Source organism: Homo sapiens, chromosome 16 (assembly GCF_000001405.40).
Source record: "Homo sapiens chromosome 16, GRCh38.p14 Primary Assembly".
In the NCBI taxonomy this organism is placed as follows: domain Eukaryota; kingdom Metazoa; phylum Chordata; class Mammalia; order Primates; family Hominidae; genus Homo; species Homo sapiens.
Genome location: NC_000016.10, coordinates 47,324,297 through 47,342,816, shown reverse-complemented (window position 1 = coordinate 47,342,816; position 18,520 = coordinate 47,324,297). Strand labels below are relative to the sequence as shown.

At 36.8% G+C, this 18,520-nt stretch overlaps 1 protein-coding gene and 1 long non-coding RNA gene across 3 annotated transcripts in view; one reads left to right on the top strand and one right to left on the bottom strand.

Annotated features, from left to right (window-relative positions):
- Positions 1 to 18,520, top strand: part of ITFG1 (integrin alpha FG-GAP repeat containing 1) — a 306,856-nt gene that overhangs the window by 118,430 nt on the left and 169,906 nt on the right. The window lies entirely within an intron of this gene.
- The window catches only part of ITFG1-AS2 (ITFG1 antisense RNA 2), a 60,347-nt gene continuing 51,325 nt past the window's right edge, over positions 9,499 to 18,520 (bottom strand). Inside the window, exon 3 of the long non-coding RNA XR_007065056.1 lies at positions 9,499 to 9,569. This is a non-coding gene — a long non-coding RNA (ITFG1 antisense RNA 2). The remainder of the gene's footprint in view (positions 9,570 to 18,520) is intronic.

Sequence of the window (18,520 nt, the reverse complement as noted above, 5' to 3'; positions counted from 1 at the left end):
CAAGCATTTCAACTCTTAGGTTAAATTTACTCCTGGGTGTTTTGTTCTTGTACATATTATTGTAAATGAAATTGCTTGCTAAATTTTTGGGGGATTTTTCATTGGTGTTTTATAGAAACACAACTGATTTTTTCTTGTGTGTTGATCACAAGATCAACCTGCAACTTTGCTGAATACATTTATTTTAATTCTCTTAGCTTTCTTCTGGATTCTTTGGGATTTTCTCAATATAGCATCATGTCATCTCTAAATAGAGATAGTTTTCTTTCTTTCTTTGCAATTTTTATACCATTTATCTCTTTCCCTGTCTAATTGCTCTGACTAGAATTTCCAGTATGTTGAATAGCAGTGCTTAAAGTGGGCATCCTTAACTTCCTGAACTTAGGGGGAATGTTTTTAGTTTTTCACCATTGAGTATATTAGCTGTGGGTTCTTTATAAATTCATGTTCAGAAAATTTCACTCTACTTCCATTTTTCTGAGAGATATTATGAAAGTGTGTTGAATTTGTCATGTGCCTTTTATGTGTCACTTGAGATGATCATGTGGGTCTTTTTCCTTCGTTCCATTACTGTGATGTATTACATTGGTCAATTTTATGTTGAATCACCCTTGCATTTCTGAGATAAATCCCACTTGGTTATGGTGTATAATCATTTTAATATGCTGAGGGTTTTTTTGCATCTATTGCTCAGGAATTTTCCTTTGATGTCATTATCTGACTTTGATATCAGAGTAATGCTGCCTTCATAAAACGAGTTGGGAAGTGTTTCTTCCTCTTCTTTTTCTGGAAGAATTTGAGAAGGTTTGATGCTAATTCTTCTTTAAATGATTGGTGGTATTCAACAGAGAAGCCATCTGGTTGGACTTTTCTTAGTTGGGAAATTTTTGATTCATGGTTCAATCTCTTTACTTGTTATAGGTCTGGTGAGAATGTTAATTTCTTCTTGAGTCAGTTTAGGTAATTTCAGTATTTTTAGGAACTTGTTCATTTCATCTGAGTTATCTGATTTGTTGTCACACAATTGTTAATATTTTTATAATGCATTTTATTTCTCTAAAGTCAACAGTAATGTACCCACTTTCATTTGCTACTTTAGTTATGTACATCTCTCTTTTTGTCAATCTAGATAAAAGTTCATCCATTTTTTAAATCTTTTCTAATGGTCTGTCTATCCCGTTTTCTTTATCTTTCTCTAGTTTTATTGTTTTCTTTCCTCATCTTTGCTCTTTGGACTTTGTTCTTTTTCTGGTTTCTCAAGGTGTTCTTGATTTGAGATCTTTTTTCTTCTAAAGCTATGAATTGCCCCCAAGTACTGCCTTTGTGGATCTTGTAAATCTGGGTATGGGTATGTTATATTTTTATTTTCATTTGTCTCAAGTATTTTCTTTTTTTTTTTCTTTTTTTTTTTTTTTTCAGTGGCGCAGTCCTAGCTCACTGCATCTCCAACTCCTGGGCTCAAGGGATCATCCCACCTCAGCCTCCAGAGTAGCTAGGATTACAAGTGCGCACCACACCTGGCTAATTTTATTATTTATTTATTTATTTATTTATTTATTTTTTACAGATGGGGTCTTGCTTTGTTTGTTGCCCAGTCTGGTCTCAAACTCCTGGCCCCAAGCAATCCTCTTGCCTCAGCCTCTCAAAGTACTGGGATTATAGGCCTAAGCTACCATGCCTGGCTTTTAAGTACTTTCTCATTTCCCTAGTGATTCTTCTTTGACCCATTGGTTGTTTAGAGTGTGTTAATTTTCATGTATTCGTGAATTTTCTTGTTTCTCTTCTGCTATTGCTTTTTTGCTTCATTCCATTGTGATTAGAGAATGTGCTTCTTACATTTTGAGCCTATGTTTTTAGGTGTATGTATGATTACAGTTGTTATATCTTCTTGGTGAATTGTCCTTTTAGTCATTATACAATGTTCTTATTTGTCTCTCATAACAATTTTTGACTTAAACTTTTGTCTATATGAATATAACCTCTCCGGCATTGTTGCCCATTCTTTCACTTTCAACCTATTTGTGTTTTTCTATGTAGAGTCTCTTATAGACAACATATAGTTGGACCATGTTTTTTTAAAATTCATTCTGCCAATCTCCTTTTTGATTTGAGTGTTTATGTACACTTAAGATGATTAACTGATAAGGAAGATTTTGCTTCTGCCATTTTCCTGTTTGTTTTCTATATGTCTTTTCACTTTTTTTCTCTTTCGTTTCCTCCTTTTATGTTTAGTTGATTTGTAGTGAATGGTTTTGATTCTTTTCTCATTTCTTTTTGCACATATTCTATATTTTCGTGTTTGTGGTTACCATGGGTATTACATTTAACAACTAAAGTTGTAGCCTTCTAATTTGAATTGAAACCAGCTTAATGTAATACCACACAAAAACTCTGCTACTATATAGCTCTTTTATTCCTGTTTATGTTATTGATGTCCCAGAATATATCTTTATATAATTTGTGCTCAATACATAATATTTATACATTTGTCTTTTAAATCATATAGCAAATAAAAAGTTGTGTTACAGATAAATAATACAATAATACTGGCTTTTATACTTGCCCAGGTATATGCTTTTACCAATAATTTTTTTTCTTTATATGGCTTTTTAGCATTTCTCATATAGCAGGTCTGATAGTGGAAAAAAAAATTCCCTCCGCCTTTATCTGGGAATATCTTACATTTCTTCTTTGTTCTTGAAGGAAAGTTTTACATTATATAAAATTTTGGGTTTACTGTTTTTCTTTGAGTGTTTTAAATACATCATCCCACTGCCTGCTGGCCTCTGTCGTTTCTGATGGACTGTTAATCTGAGTATCCCTTTTTCATGATGAATTGGTTTTTTGTTTGTTTTTTCTGTTCTCAAAATTTTCTTTCTCTTTGGCTTTAATAGTTTGGCTGTGTGTCTTGGTGTGGGTCTCTTTGAGAGTATCGTATGTGGACTTCTTTGAGCTTCTTGGATTTGTAGATTCATGTTTTTTCTCAAATTTCTAAAGGTTTTTGGCCATGATTTCTTCAAGTGTTCTCTTTGTTCTCTTTTCTTTTCTGGCAGTTTTATAATGCATATGGTGATCCACTTGATAGTGTCCCTTGGGTCCCTTGTGCTTTATTTATTTTTCTTCATCGTTTTTTCTTTGTGCTCCTCACACTTGATGTCATTTGTCCTATTTTCAAGTTCACTGTTTCTTGTGCCTGTTCAAATCTGCTGTTGAGGCCCCCCATTTCTAGGGAACTTTATATTTCAGTTATACTTTTCAGGTCCAGAGTATCTGTTTGGTTCATTTATAATCTCCTTATTGATATTCTCATTTTGTTCATAAATCATTTTCCTGATTTCTATTAGCTACTTGCCTATATTTTCTTTAGCCCTTTGAACATATTTAAGATAGTTGTTTTAAAGTATTTGTCTAGGAATATACATTATTACAGTCATTATAGAGAACAGTTCGGAGGTTCCTCAGGAAACTAAATATAGAGCTACCATGTGGATCCTGCAGTCCCACTGCTAGGTATATGCCCAAAAGAAAGGAAATCAGTATGTCACAGAGATATCTGCATTCCCATGTTTATTTTAGCACTCTTCACAATAGCCAAGATATGGAAGTCCATCAACAGATGAATGGATAAAGAAAATGTGGTACATCTATATAACTGAGTACTATTCAGGCATAAGAAAGAATGAGATTACATCATTTGCAACAACATGGAGGGAAGTGAAGGTCATTCTGTTAAATGAAAGAAGCCAGGCACAGAAAGACAAACTTGGCATGTTCTCACTTATTTATGGGATCTAAAAATTAAAACAATTGTGAACTCATGGAAATCGTGGAAGGATGGTTACCAGAGGCTGGGAAGAATAGTAGTAGGGAAGTGGCGATGGTTAATGTGTACAAAAACAAATAGAAAGAATGAATAAGACCTAGTATTTGTTAATGCAGCATTGTGACTATAGTCCATAATTAATTGTACATTTTAAAATAGAAGAGTAGAATTGGATTGTTTGTGCACAAAGGACAAATGCTTGAGGTAATGGAAAAACCCCATTTACCCTGATGTGATTATTACACATTGTATGTCTGTATCAAAATACATCATGTAACCCATGAATGTATACACCTTCTATGTACCCACAAAAATTAAAAATTTAAAAAAAAAAAAAAGTAAAGTTTTTGTCTGGTAAGTCTGATGCCTAGGCTTCTTCCAGGATTTTATCTGTTGGTTAATTTTGTTTCTTTGAATAGGCTATAAATTTTTTGTTCTTTGTATGCCTTGTGATTTTTTTGCTCTAAACCGAACATTTAGATATTATAATGTAACTCTGGAAATCAGGTTCTCACCCACTCCCATCGTTTGCTAGGGTTTTTTTTCTTTGTTTATAATGCCATTTTTTTTTGTTTGTTTGGTTTTGAGAAGGAGTTTTGCTCTTGATGCTCAGGCTGGAGTGCAATGGCATGATCTCAGCTCACTGTAACCTCCACCTCCTGGGTTCAAGCAATTTTCCTGCCTCAGCCTCCCGAGTAGGGATTATGCGCGCCTGCCACCGCTCCTGGCCAATGTTTTTTATGTTTACTAGAGACAGGGTTTCACCATGTTGGCCAGGCAGTTCTCGAACTCCTGACCTCAGGTGATCCACCCACCTCAGACTCCCAAAGTGCTGGGATTACAGGCGTGGGCCACTGCGCCTGGCCTATAGTGCCATTTGTTTAGTAATTTTCCAAACTATTTTTTTGAAAGACTGTATTCCTTGTCATGTGTGTCACTGAAATTTCTGTTCCTTCAGTTCGTGTTCATCTAATGTTTTGACAGAGATTTCCTTGAATAGCAGGAACTAAAAACAAACAAACAAACATGAAACCAAGAAATAAAACAAACAGCAATCATATTTCCCAGTCTTTGCAGACTGGCTCTGTGCTAGGGCACTTCTACAGCACTTGCACTGGGGCTCGCACAGAGTCTAGGGAACAGCCCATGTGAAAACTCAGGGTCTTCTCAGGTCCCTTTCTGAGCACACATCTTGCCCTGGCAATGCATGTGGTTTTCTGAACGCCACCATACCTCTCCCCGCAACCCTCCCCCACTGCATCTCACCATACACGAGTGTTTTTTTACCTTCTGTCGCAATTGCGATTTTATTGGTTGTGTTGAGGATCACTACACAGACATTTCAGTTTGTTCACAATCCTTAACGTATGTACCAAAAATCTAAAAAGCCATGCATTGTGATTCTTTTTTTATTTTTATTTTATGAGACAGAGTCTCACTCTGTCACCCAGGCTGGAGTGCAGTGACGCGACCTTGGCTCACTGCAACCTCCACCTCCCGGTTTCAGGTGATTCTCCTGCTTCAGCCTCCCCAGTAGCTGGGATTATAGGTTCCCACCACCACGCCCAGCTAAGTTTTGTATTTTTAGTAGAGATGGGGTTTTGCCACATTGGCCAGGCTGGTCTTGAACTCCTGACCTCGTGATCTGCCTGCCTCGGCCTCCCAAAGTGCTGGGATTACAGGCATGAGCCACCGCGCCTGGCTGTGATTCTTTTTTAAAGTTATTCCACTGACCTTCCAGCTGAAAGTTTGGAGTCAAAATTTCCACAAGAGGATATCAAGTACCTATATCTTCAGCATTCATCAGCTGTCCTAATTTCTTTCTTTTTTTTTCTTTTTCTTTTTTTTTTTTTTTTGAGACAGAGTTCGCTCTTGTCACCCAGGTTGGAGTGCAATGGCACCATCTCAGCTCACTGCAACCCCCGCCTCCCTGTGATTCTCCTGCCTCAGCCTCCCAAGTAGCTGGGATTACATGTGCCCACAGGCATGAGCCACTGTACCCAGCCTCTTTTTTTTTTTTTTTCTTTTTTTGAGATGGAGTCTCGCTGTGTCCCAAAAGCTGAAGTTCAGTGGTGTGATCTTGGCTCACTGCAACCTCCGCCTCCTGGGTTCAGACAATTCTTCTCCCTCAGCCTCCCGAGTAGCTGGGATTACAGGCATGTGTCACCATGCCCGGCTAATTTTTATATTTTTAGTAGAGACAGGATTTTGCCATGTTGGCCAGGCAGGTCTAGAACTCCTGACCTCAGGTGACCCGCCTCCTCGGCCTCCCAAAGTGCTGGGATTACAGGCATGAGCCACCATGCCCGACCCCTAATTTCTTAACGAATTTCCCTTAGCTTTTTCTCCAGTGCCTTATATGCCGTTGTATGACTTGATCCATCATCTTTTGCCTCAGGTATCTGTGGGCTTTGGAGTGTTTTGAGTAATGTCTGCTGCTTTTCTGTCCTTAGTTTCAAGTTAGCCAAAAGAGAATCAAGCACCTTCTGTCCATCTTCCAGATAGTCCCTAGACACGTTAGAACAGACATACACAATGATTTATAAGTGAGATCTGCTGTATTTCCTCAAATCCAGGGACCAGTGTTGTCACTGCTTCAGCACTGCTACCACAGCCGAGAGCAGCAGGACAAGGGCAAGGAAAAATGCTGTCAAATTTTCCTACCATTTTCAAGTTGCCTGTTTCTTGATTCAGCATTTGCTTGGTTGCTGTCAACCTTTGACCGTTTTCCAGAGTTCTGACAGTTATTTCTGATAGTTTCAGCTTGTTTTCTCTGGGTGTCTGTGAGAGATCCAGGAGCTGCCTACTCTGCCATTTTGCTGACATCATTTGATCTACTTTTTGTCTCTATACTTTGGCCTATTCTAGACATTTTATGTAAATGGAATCATACTGTATTTCTGGCTTGTTAGCATCTAAGGTTCACTCATATTGTAATATGTATTCGTAATTTGTTCCTTTTAATTGCTGAGTGGTATTCCATTGTATGAGTATATGACATTTTATTTATCTGTAAACTGTTGAGGGAGACTTTAGATTATTTCCAGTTTGGGGTTACTAGGAATAATACTGCTGTGAACATTTGTTTAAAAGACTGTGTGTAGATACATGGTTTCCTTTTTCTTAGTAATACCTAGGAGTGGAAATACCAGATCAATATGATAAGTGTATGCTTAACATTTTATGTTTCCAAAGTGGCTATCCATATTGTTACTACCAGGAATGTATGAGATTTCTATTCTCTCTACATTCTTGTCAACAGTTAGTATTGTCATTCTTTTTTATTATAACTATTTTATTTGGTGTGTAGTGGTGTCTTATTTTGCCATTTATTTGCATTTCCCTTATGACTAATGATGCTGAACATCTTTTTTATAAGTTTATTTGCCATTTGTAGGTTTTTCTGTTGTGAAATGTCTATTCCAATTCTTTGTCCATGTTTTAGAAACCCATTGTGTGACATCTTAAGTTATAGTACTTCTTTGTATATTCTTCAAACAAATCCTTTATAAGATACATGATTTGCAATTCTTTTATTCTCCACTCTGCAGCTTGTCTTTTTATGTCTTAGTAGGGTTTTTTGTTGTTTTGGGGGACTTTTGGGTTTGTTTTTTTGTCTTGTTTTGTTTTGTTTTTTCTTAGAGTCTCGCTCTTGCAACCCAGGCTGGAGTGCAATGGGCATGATCTGGGCTCACAGCAACCTCCGCCTCCCAGGTTCAAATGATTCTCCTGCCTCAGCCTCCCTAGTAGCTGGGATTACAGGTGCCCACCACCACGCCTGACTGATTTTTGTATTTTTAGTAGAGACAGGGTTTCACCATGTTGGCCAGGTTGGTCTTGAACTCCTGACCTCAGGTGATCCACCCTCCTCGGCCTCCCAAAGTGCTAGGTTTACTGGCATGAGCCACTGCACCCAGTCATCTTAATGGGTTTTATAAAAGCATGTATGTGTAATTTTTATCAGGTCAGGTTTATCCAATTTTGCTTTTAGTATCATGTTTCTCATGTCATATCTAAGAATTCTTTGCTTAATAACCTAAGGACAGAAAAATTTTTTCCTGTTTTCTTCTATAAGCTTTCTAATTTTAGCTCTGTAAGTCTGTGAGTCATTTTGCATTAATTTTAAATAAATTCTTGGTAGTTAACAAAAAAATTTTTCTCATCTCAGAACACTATAAGAATATTTTCTAATTATAATATTTGCATGTATAGAGAGTAATATCATAAAATGGGACCTGTCTGAAAAATTAGACTAATGTTGACTGATGATTATTTGCTATAACTCAGGGTGGGGAAGGAGCTGCAGGAATTTCTTGTTTGTCAGAGTTGAAATTATATAGACCCAAAAGTCAGCGTTATAATCCAGCTAACAGTTCTCCACCTATATAAAACTGTGTAATTTGCCTTGACGCATGACTTCAACCAAGCAGTGAATCATTGACCAAAAACACAATGAAACAAAATCTGAGAAATCACTTGCTCTAGGAATTTTTTGGCGTTCACTGCTCCTATATTTAAGTGTTTGTTTAATATAGAATAAAATGTATTTTCTTTTTTATTCTTTTTTAAGACAGGGCTCACTCTGTCACCCAGTTTGGAGTGCAGTAGTGAGATCATGGCTCACTGCAGCCTCAACCTCCCCAGGTCAAGCAATCCTCTCACCTCAGCCTCTTAAGTATTTGGGACTACAGGCACACACCAGCACACCCAGCTAACTTCCTTTGGCCATGTTGCCCAGGCTTGTCTTGAACTCCTGGGCTCAAGCAGTCCACCTGCTTCAGCCTCCCAAAGTGCTGGGATTACAGATATGAACCGCTGCACCCAGCCTAAAATATATTCATTCATGTATTGAGAGGTTCTTTGAATGAGAGTAACATTCATGGATTTCATTGTATTTAGCAAAATCAATGATTAATAAAATAGAACATGATTAAAAGCCTTTTCACATACTAACACTATTATTTCACAACTTTCTTACTGGTGGGCCAAAATACCAATATGGTAAATGGTGTGCCAGATGATATTGTGGGTATCTAAATTGAAAGGTACTATTTCATATAAAATGAAGTCATGTAAATGTGGTATCACAGTTCATTGAATTTTAAAATCTCAGTTGAAACCATTATATTTTTCAGTATTTAATATTGCTTAGTAAAGACCTAGTCCATGATGAAGACTGTTTTCCTGCTTGAAGAGCAAGGTAAAAAGAGCAGTTCCTTAAAGCACGAAACGGGTCTTATGTCCACTCTGCTTCTTTTGTGGATTAGAAAACTGACCATAGGGAAGTACGGTAACATACCTCTAGTCCTAAAGCCAAACAGCTCTTGGTATGAATCCCAGCTCTACTGCTTACCAACTTCATGAACTTATAAAAGTTATGTGGCCATTTTATATTATGGTTAATACAGTGCTTATATACTTCATTAAAAGAAAAATTTTATAACGAATGTTTGCTTTTCTTATTTCTAAACTAATCAACTCAAAATAAGGTAAAAAGTCATATTTAAGGGCATATTCTCCAGTATTGTCCATTTACCTTCAATCCAGAGAAAAACCATATTTTTCAGCTGCTTGCTAGGTCTCTAATTCTGGATGAACCTTTGACAAACACTTTTCAGTTTCAGGAAGAGAGGAGACATCCTTGGATAATGAACTTAGGCAGACTTGAGTTAAAATTCCACTTTTGCCTGCCATGTATTGGCTTTTTCCTTGGGTGATTAATATTACCAAGCATCAATGTCCTCATCTGTAAATTAAAGATAATACTCTGTTATTCATAGTTTTTGTCAGAATTAAATATTAATGTAGTACATATAAAATAACCTCTACTAGGACTTAGTAGATATTCAGGAATTATCAATTTCCTTCTTCCATCCCAGGACATACCCTTCATGTGTATAGGAATAGAAAAAAAAAATAAGAACAGCTTTGGGCATTGTATATTTATTAAAATTGAGACAACTGCATGTGTAGGTGTTTTTCTCCCTTTCGGTGATTAATTCAGTGCTTATGAACACAATTAAAGTATGTTTATAAATATGATAGTAAATGATGTTTCAATTATTTCATAGATGAATAACCTCGTAAATTGCTCTAGTACCTTTGAATAAACTGCTGCTTTAATGCAGAAGTTAGTTGGAAAGACTGACGTGAAAATCCTGATGTTGTTCACTGACTTATGCCTAACAAATTGAATAATTACCTGGTTCTGGGCCATTCCTAAATAGAGCTTGCATGGGTTGAAGGACCCCATGACTGGAGTCAAGTCTTGCCTCTCCCTGTCTGTCTGATCCCAGACAAATGGCTTAACCTTTCTGGGCCTCCATTTTCTCATCTATAAAATGATGGAGATAAAGGACATAATTTCTATGGCCTTTTATAGTTCTAACATATGTAATTTGAAATCAGTGAGAAATAAGTCAAAGCTGATTGTTATATTCTGTTGACTGATTATTTAAATTAAAAGGATTGATCATTAGGAAAATATGAACAAAATATGTAAATGAAACACCAAGTTACAGGGATCTTTACGCTTGTTAATAGTTAGAACATTTTACTTTTAGTGGCCGTGAAGTGCTTGTAGAGGTAAAAGCTGCTATAGAATTCCTTGTGCACCTTGCTTTTGAACATAGCAGCTTCATATTTGATTCCCTATTTTTCCCTTGAAAGGATGGATAACAAAGATTTTAATCTTGAAAATGAATATTCTGTGAAATCCATGGAATATCATTGTTAGCAGCTGTTTATTTCATCTACCTCTACCCTTCTTTTTTTATTTTATTTTATTTTATTTTATTATTATTATACTTTAAGTTTTAGGGTACCTGTGCACAATGTGCAGGTTAGTTACACCACCTCTACCCTTCTGGCAAAAAGTTCACAGCTACTTGTGAAACAAGGATTTAGTCAGAGTGAGAAAACCGCAACACTGGTTCAGACATTTCATACATAAGAGTCTTTTATTGAAAGAACAAAATGAGCTTCTTAAAGACAAGGTGCTTTGACCTAAGAATTTGATGTCCTAATAATATTTGGGGTATTTGAGGAGATTATGTATTTAGCTGTTTCATAGGTGATCAAAAATACCTGCAAGTGGAAATTATAATTACAGCTTTGAAGGGAATTAAAGATGTTTATCGTCTGAGTAAAAGTACTAATTAGCTCATAGATCGTACAACAAAAATTACTAACAACACCTAAACTACTTTTCTCATGAAAATTTCAAAATTAGCATGACGAGACTGTTCTTTTATTTTTCAAAAGGCTATTTCAAGTTAGTCTACTTATTTCTGAAACTTGACCCTTCTTTTACTTTTAAACTAACCCATGTTTATTTAGAATATTATGGGTTATAAAAGGATCTGAAAGGTAAATCTCACAAAGATAGATATTTCAATGAAAGAAGAGTATAAGCAGAAGTTAGGATAACCTTTATTCGCAGTTTTTATCAACGTTCACTGTAATGGAGCCCTTTTCTTTGGGTTTCTGTTTTGTTTTATTTAATTGTTAATTTTAGTTTAGATTCAGAGGGTCCATGTGCAGATTTGTTGCATGGGTATATTTGCATGATGCTGAGATCTGGGCTTCTATTGATCCTGTTACCCAAGTAGTGAACACAGTACCCCATAGGAAGTTTTTCAGCCCTTGCCCTCTTCCCTCTGTCCCTCCCTTCCTCCTTCCTTTTGGAGTCCCCAGTGTCTGTTTCTATCTTTACGTCCATGGGTATCCAGGGTTTAGCTCCCACTTGTAAATGAGAACATGCAGTATTTGGCTTTCTGTTTCTGTGTTAATTCACTTAGGATAATGGCCTCCAGCTGCATTTACGCTGCTGCAGAGGACATGATTTTGCTCATTTTTATGGCTACATAGTATTCCATTGGTACCACATTTTCTTTATCCAGTCCACCGTTGATGGGCACCTAGATTGTTTCCATGTCTTTGCTATTGTGAACAGTGCTGTGATGAACATACAAGTGCAGATGTCTTTTTGGTAGAACAATTTATTTTCCTTTGAGTGTATACACATTAATGGGATTACTGGGTAGAATGGTAGTTCTCTTTTAAGTTCTTTGAGAAATCTCCAAGCTACTTTCCACAGTGGCTGAATTAATTTACATTTCCACCAACAGTGTGTGCTAAGCATTCCCTTTTCTCTGCAGCCTTGCCAGCATCTGTTATTTTTTGACTTCTTAATAGCCATTCTGACTGGTGTGAGGTGGTATCTCATTGTGGTTTTGATTTGCATTTCTCTGATGATTAGTGATATTGAGCATTTTTTCATGTTTGTCGGCTGCTCGTATGTCTTCTTTTGAGAAGTATCTGTTCATGTTCTTTGCCCAGTTTTTAATGGTGTTATTTTTGTTTTTGTTGATTTGCTTAAGTTCCTTATCGATTCTGGATATTAGTCCCTTTTAGAATGCATAGTTTGCAAATATTTTCTCCCATTCTATAGGTTGTCTTTTTACTCTGTTGATAGTTTAGGTTTTTTGTTTTTTGGGTTTGTTTATTTGTTTCTTGGCTATGCAGAAGCTCTTTAATTTCATTAGATTCAACTTGTCAATTTTTATTTTTGTTTCACTTGCTTTTGAGGACTTAGTCATAAATTCTTTTCCTAGGGACATGTCCCAAAGAGTATTTCCTAGGTTTTGTTCTAGGATTTTTTAGGTTGAGGTCTTACATTTATGTCTTTAATCCATCTTCAGTTCTTTTTTATATATGGTAAGAGGTAGGGGTCCAGTTTCATTCTTCTGCATATGGTTAGCCAGTTTTCCCAGCACCATTTATTGAATAGAGAGTCCTTTTTCCCATGCTCATTTTTCTCAACTTTGTCAAAGATCATTTTTTTATGGGTGTGCAGCTTTATTTCTGGGCTCTCTATTCTGTTCCATTGGCATGCCTGTCTATTTTTTACCAGTACCAGGCATTTTCAGCCCTCTTTAAAGGTCACTCTTTCATTTATGTTCTCCAGAAGAAACTAAGAATCTGTAACCTATCCCTGCCCAAATGTTGACATTTGGCTTATGTAAAAGCAACTGTCTTTGATATTGTAGTGTCACCATTTGACACTTCTGAGTGTCTTATTCTAACAATTACTACCACATATTTAGCTCTTATGTGCCAAGAACTATGCAAAGGGAAGTAGACGAGAATATGGGCTCTCGACGCAGGCTGCCTGAGTTTGTATTCTGATTCTGCCTCTTACTAAATCTGTGTTCATGGGCAAGGTACTTAACCTCTTATACTTCCATTTCTCCTTCTGTTAAATGGAGGTCATAATATAGGATAATAACACAATTTGAGTTGTTATGAAGATTAAAGGAGATAATACATGTATAAAACTCATAACTGTTTTGCACATAGTAAACACTCAGTGACTGCTTATTAGTGTGATCATTGTCATCATCATCATTTAATCTTTACAAGAAAACATTGGGATAGTATGCATTTTACAGATAAAGAAACTGAGGCTTAGAAATCATAAATAACTTTCCCAAGGCAACACTGCTAGCAAGTGATAGCTGAGATTTGACCTCAAGTCCTTGTGATGAACTTAAGCCCATGCTCCTAAAGTAGACTGTGGCCTTAGTGGAAGTGGACTGCTGGTAGCATTTTAGAATGTCATACATGGAATCTAGCCTTCTCATTTTGTGGATAGAAAAACTGAATTGACTAAGCACCCTAGTAACAGACAGTCCTGAAAGCAGTATCTTTCCCATTGTCCTTTCTGCTGCCCCCAAGCATGACTTCTTTTCTTAAGAATTCTTTAGAATAGCTTTAATCATTTGCATTTTGATTCTCGTCTTCTGCCCAAATATAAAATCCTAGATTGTTAGGATTAAATGAAAGCTTTTGTGTGTAAAGATTTCATTTTACAATGATATTACTTTACCATCATTTTATGGTGCTTTATTCTAATCATAATAAGAAGGAACCATTTTTCAGTCCTTGCTGCCTTAAGCGTGGATTTTTATATTTAAATACGTTTCTGTTCTTTTGGTCTTAGGCTTTATTTTGAATGCAGGATCGTACTGACGAAGAGACTAGCAGCCACCTTTGCCTACCTTGTATCATGGGTGTGAATAAATGTATAAAGCAAAAAATAGGATTGTATTTCAGTTTCTTGCTTATTTTTAGAATTCAGATTATGGGTTTGAGTTAGCTAGTAGTTTGTCATAATAGGTTAGTTTATTAGTAAAATGAGAGACTGTTGACGGAAAAAAGTTTGATCTCTTTCATTTAAATGTGCTAATCTTAAAATGATTCCCCAACGGAATTTATTTTCTGTCATATTGAGAGCACTCAGAAGTAAATAGACAAAAGAATTAATAGCCCTTAAGTATCACTCTGCTTGGTAGAAAATAAGAATGTTTAAGCTAATTAGTTATATAACAAGGATATACTAAGTATTTTTCTTCTGTTTTAACACCGTGTGTAAGAAATGTGTCTAAATTTCCTTCTTCTCAACTATCACATTTACTCCAAATTTTAAGTTATATATGGTTTGATTTTTTTTATTATTATTATTATACTTTAAGTTTTAGGGTACATATGCACAATGTGCAGGTTTGTTACATATGTATACATGTGCCATGTTGGTGTGCTGCACCCATTAATTCGTCACTTAGCATTAGGTATATCTCCTAATGCTATCGCTCCCGCCTTCCCCCACCCCACAACTGTCCCCGGTGTGTGATGTTCCCCTTCCTGTGTCCATGTGTTCTCATTGTTCAGTTCCCACCTATGAGTGAGAACATGTGGTCTTTGGTTTTTTGACCTTGCGATAGTTTCCTGAGAATAATGGTTTGCAGCTTCATCCATGTCCCTACAAAGGACATGAACTCATCATTTTTTATGGCTGCATAGTATTCCATGGTGTATATGTGCCACATTTTCTTAATCCAATCTATCATTGTTGGACATTTGGGTTGGTTCCAAGTCTTTGCTATTCTGAATAGTGCCGCAGTAAACATACGTGTGCATGTGTCTATAGCAGCATTATTTATAATCCTTTGGGTATATAGCCAGTAATGGGATGGCTGGGTCAAATGGTATTTCTAGTTCTAGATCCTGGAGGAATTGCCACACCGACTTCCACAATGGTTGAACTAGTTTACAGTCCCACCAACAGTGTAAGTGTTCCTATTTCTCCACATCCTCTCCAGCACCTGTTGTTTCCTGACTTTTTAATGATTGCCATTCTAACTGGTGTGAGATGGTATCTCATTGTGTTTTGATTTGCATTTCTCTGATGGCCAGTGATGATGAGCATTTTTTCATGTGTTTTTTGGCTGCATAAATGTCTTCTTTTGAGAAGTGTCTGTTCATATCCTTTGCCCACTTTTTGATGAGGTTGTTTGTTTTTTTCTTGTAAATTTGTTTGAGTTCATTGTAGATTCTGGATATTAGCCCTTTGTCAGATGAGTAGGTTGCAAAAATTTTCTCCCATTTTGTAGGTTGCCTGTTCACTCTGATGGTGGTTTCTTTTGCTGTGCAGAAGCTCTTTAGTTTAATTAGATCCCATTTGTCAATTTTGGCTTTTGTTGCCATTGCTTTTGGTGTTTTAGACATGCAGTCCTTGCCCATGCCTGTGTCCTGAATGGTATTGCCTAGGTTTTCTTCTAGGGTTTTTATGGTTTTAGGTCTAACATGTAAGTCTTTAATCCATCTTGAATTAATTTTTGTATAAGGTGTAAGGAAGGGATCCAGTTTCAGCTTTCTATATATGGCTAGCCAGTTTTCCCAGCACCATTTATTAAATAGGGAATGCTTTCCCCTTTGCTTGTTTTTGTCAGGTTTGTCAAAGATCAGATAGTTGTAGATATGTGACATTATTTCTGAGGGCTCTGTTCTGTTCCATTGATCTATATCTCTGTTTTGGTACCAGTGCCATGCTGTTTTGGTTACTGTAGCCTTGTAGTATAGTTTGAAGTCAGGTAGCGTGATGCCTCCACCTTTCTTCTTTTGGCTTAGGATTGACTTGGCGATGCGGGCTCTTTTTTGGTTCCATATGCACTTTAAAGTAGTTTTTTCCAATTCTGTGAAGAAAGTCATTGGTAGCTTGATGGGGATGGCATTGAATCTATAAATTACCTTGGGCACTATGGCCATTTTCACGATATTGATTCTTCCTACCCATGAGCATGGAATGTTCTTCCATTTGTTTGTATCCTCTTTTATTTCCTTGAGCAGTGGTTTGTAGTTCTCCTTGAAGAGGTCCTTCACATCCTTTGTAAGTTGGATTCCTAGGTATTTTATTTTCTTTGAAGCCATTGTGAATGGGAGTTCACTCATGATTTGACTCTCTGTTTGTCTGTTTTTGGTGTATAAGAATGCTTGTGATTTTTGCACATTGATTTTGTATCCTGAGACTTTGCTGAAGTTGCTTATCAGCTTAAGGAGATTTTGTGCTGAGACGATGGGGTTTTCTAGATATACAATCATGTCATCTGCAAACAGGGACAATTTGACTTCCTCTTTTCCTAATTGAATGCCCTTTATTTCCTTCTCCTGCCTAATTGCCCTGGCCAGAACTTCCAACACTATTTTGAATATTAGTGGTGAGAGAGGGCATCCCTGTCTTGTGCCAGTTTTCAAAGGGAATGCTTCCAGTTTTTGTCCATTCAGTATGATATTGGCTGTGGGTTTGTCATAGATAGCTCTTATTATTTTGAGATACGTCCCATCAATACCTAATTTATTGAGAGTTTTTAGCATGAAGTGTTGTTGAATTTTGTCAAAGGCCATTTCTGCATCTATTGAGATAATCATGTGGTTTTTGTCTTTGGTTCTGTTTATATGCTGTATTAGGTGTATTGATTTTCGTATGTTGAACCAGACTTCCATCCCAGGGATGATGCCCACTTGATCATGGTGGATAAGCTTTTTATGTGTTGCTGGATTCGGTTTGCCAGTATTTTATTGAGGATTTGTGCATCAATGTTCATCAAGGATATTGGTCTAAAATTCTCTTTTTTTGTTGTGTCTCTGCCAGGCATTGTTATCAGGATGATGCTGGCCTCATAAAATGAGTTAGGGAGGATTCCCTCTTTTTGTGTTGATTGGAGTAGTTTCATAAGGAGTGGTACCAGCTCCTCCTTGTACCTCAGGTAGAATTTGGCTGTGAATCCATTTGGTCCTGGACCTTTTTTGGTTGGTAAGCTATTTATTATTGCCTCAGTTTCAGAGCCTGTTATTGGTCTATTCAGAGAATCAACTTCTTCCTGGTTTAGTCTTGGGAGGGTGTATGTGTCGAGGAATTTATCCATTTCTTCTAAATTTTCTAGTTTATTTGCGTAGAGGTGTTTATAGTATTCTCTGATGGTAGTTTGTATTTCTGTGGGATCGGTGGTGATATCCCCTTTATCATTTTTTATTGTGTCTATTTGATTCTTCTCTCTTTTCTTCTTTATTAGTCTTGCTAGCAGTCTATCAATTTTGTTGATCTTTTCAAAAAACCAGCTCCTGGCTTCATTGATTTTTTGAAGGGTTTTTTGTGTCTCTATTTCCTTCAGTTCTACTCTGATCTTAGTTATTTCTTGCCTTCTGCTAGCTTTTCAATGTGTTTGCTTTGCTTCTCTAGTTCTTTTAATTGTGATGTTAGGGTGTCAATTTTAGATCTTTCCTGCTTTCTCATGTGGGCATTTAGTGCTATAAATTTCCCTCTACACACTGCTTTGAATGTGTCCCAGAGATTCTGGTATGTTGTGTCTTTGTTCTCATTGGTTTCAAAGAACATCTTTATTTCTGCCTTCATTTCGTTATGTACCCAGTGGTCACTCAGGAGCAGTTTCCATGTAGTTGAGCGGTTTTGAGTGAGTTTCTTAATCCTGAGTTCTAGTTTGATTGCACTGTGGTCTGAGAGACAGTTTGTTATAATTTCTGTTCTTCTACATTTGCTGAGGAGTGCTTTACTTCCAACTATGTGGTCAGTTTTGGAATAGGTGTGGTGTGGTGCTGAAAAGAATGTATATTCTGTTGATTTGGGGTAGAGAGTTCTGTAGATGTCTATTAGGTCCGCTTGGTGCAGAGCTGAGTTCAATTCCTGGGTATCCTTTTGACTTTCTGTCTCGCTGATCTGTCTAATGTTGACAGTGGGGTGTTAAAGTCTCCCATTATTATTGTGTGGGAGTCTAAGTCTCTTCGTAGGTCACTAAGGACTTGTTTTATGAATCTGGGTGCTCCTGTATTGGGAGCATATATATTTAGGATAGTTAGCTCTTCTTGTTGAATTGATCCCTTTACCATTATGTAGTGGCCTTCTTTGTCTCTTTTGATCTTTGTTGGTTTAAAGTCTGTTTTATCCGAGACTTGATTGCAACCCCTGCCTTTTTGTTTTCCATTTTCTTGGTAGATCTTCCTCCATCCCTTTATTTTGAGCCTATGTGTGTCTCTGCACATGAGATGAGTTTCCTGAATACAGCCCACTGATGGGTCTTGACTCTTTATCCAATTTGCCAGTCCGTGCCTTTTAATTGGAGCATTTAACCCATTTACATTTAAAGTTAATATTGTTATGTGTGAATTTGATCCTGTCATTATGATGTTAGCTGGCTATTTTGCTTGTTAGTTGATGCAGTTTCTTCCTAGCCTTGATGGTCTTTACAATTTGGCATGTTTTTGCAGTGGCTGGTACCAGTTGTTCCTTTCCATGTTTAGTGCTTCCTTCAGGAGCTCTTTTAGGGCAGGCCTGGTGGTGAC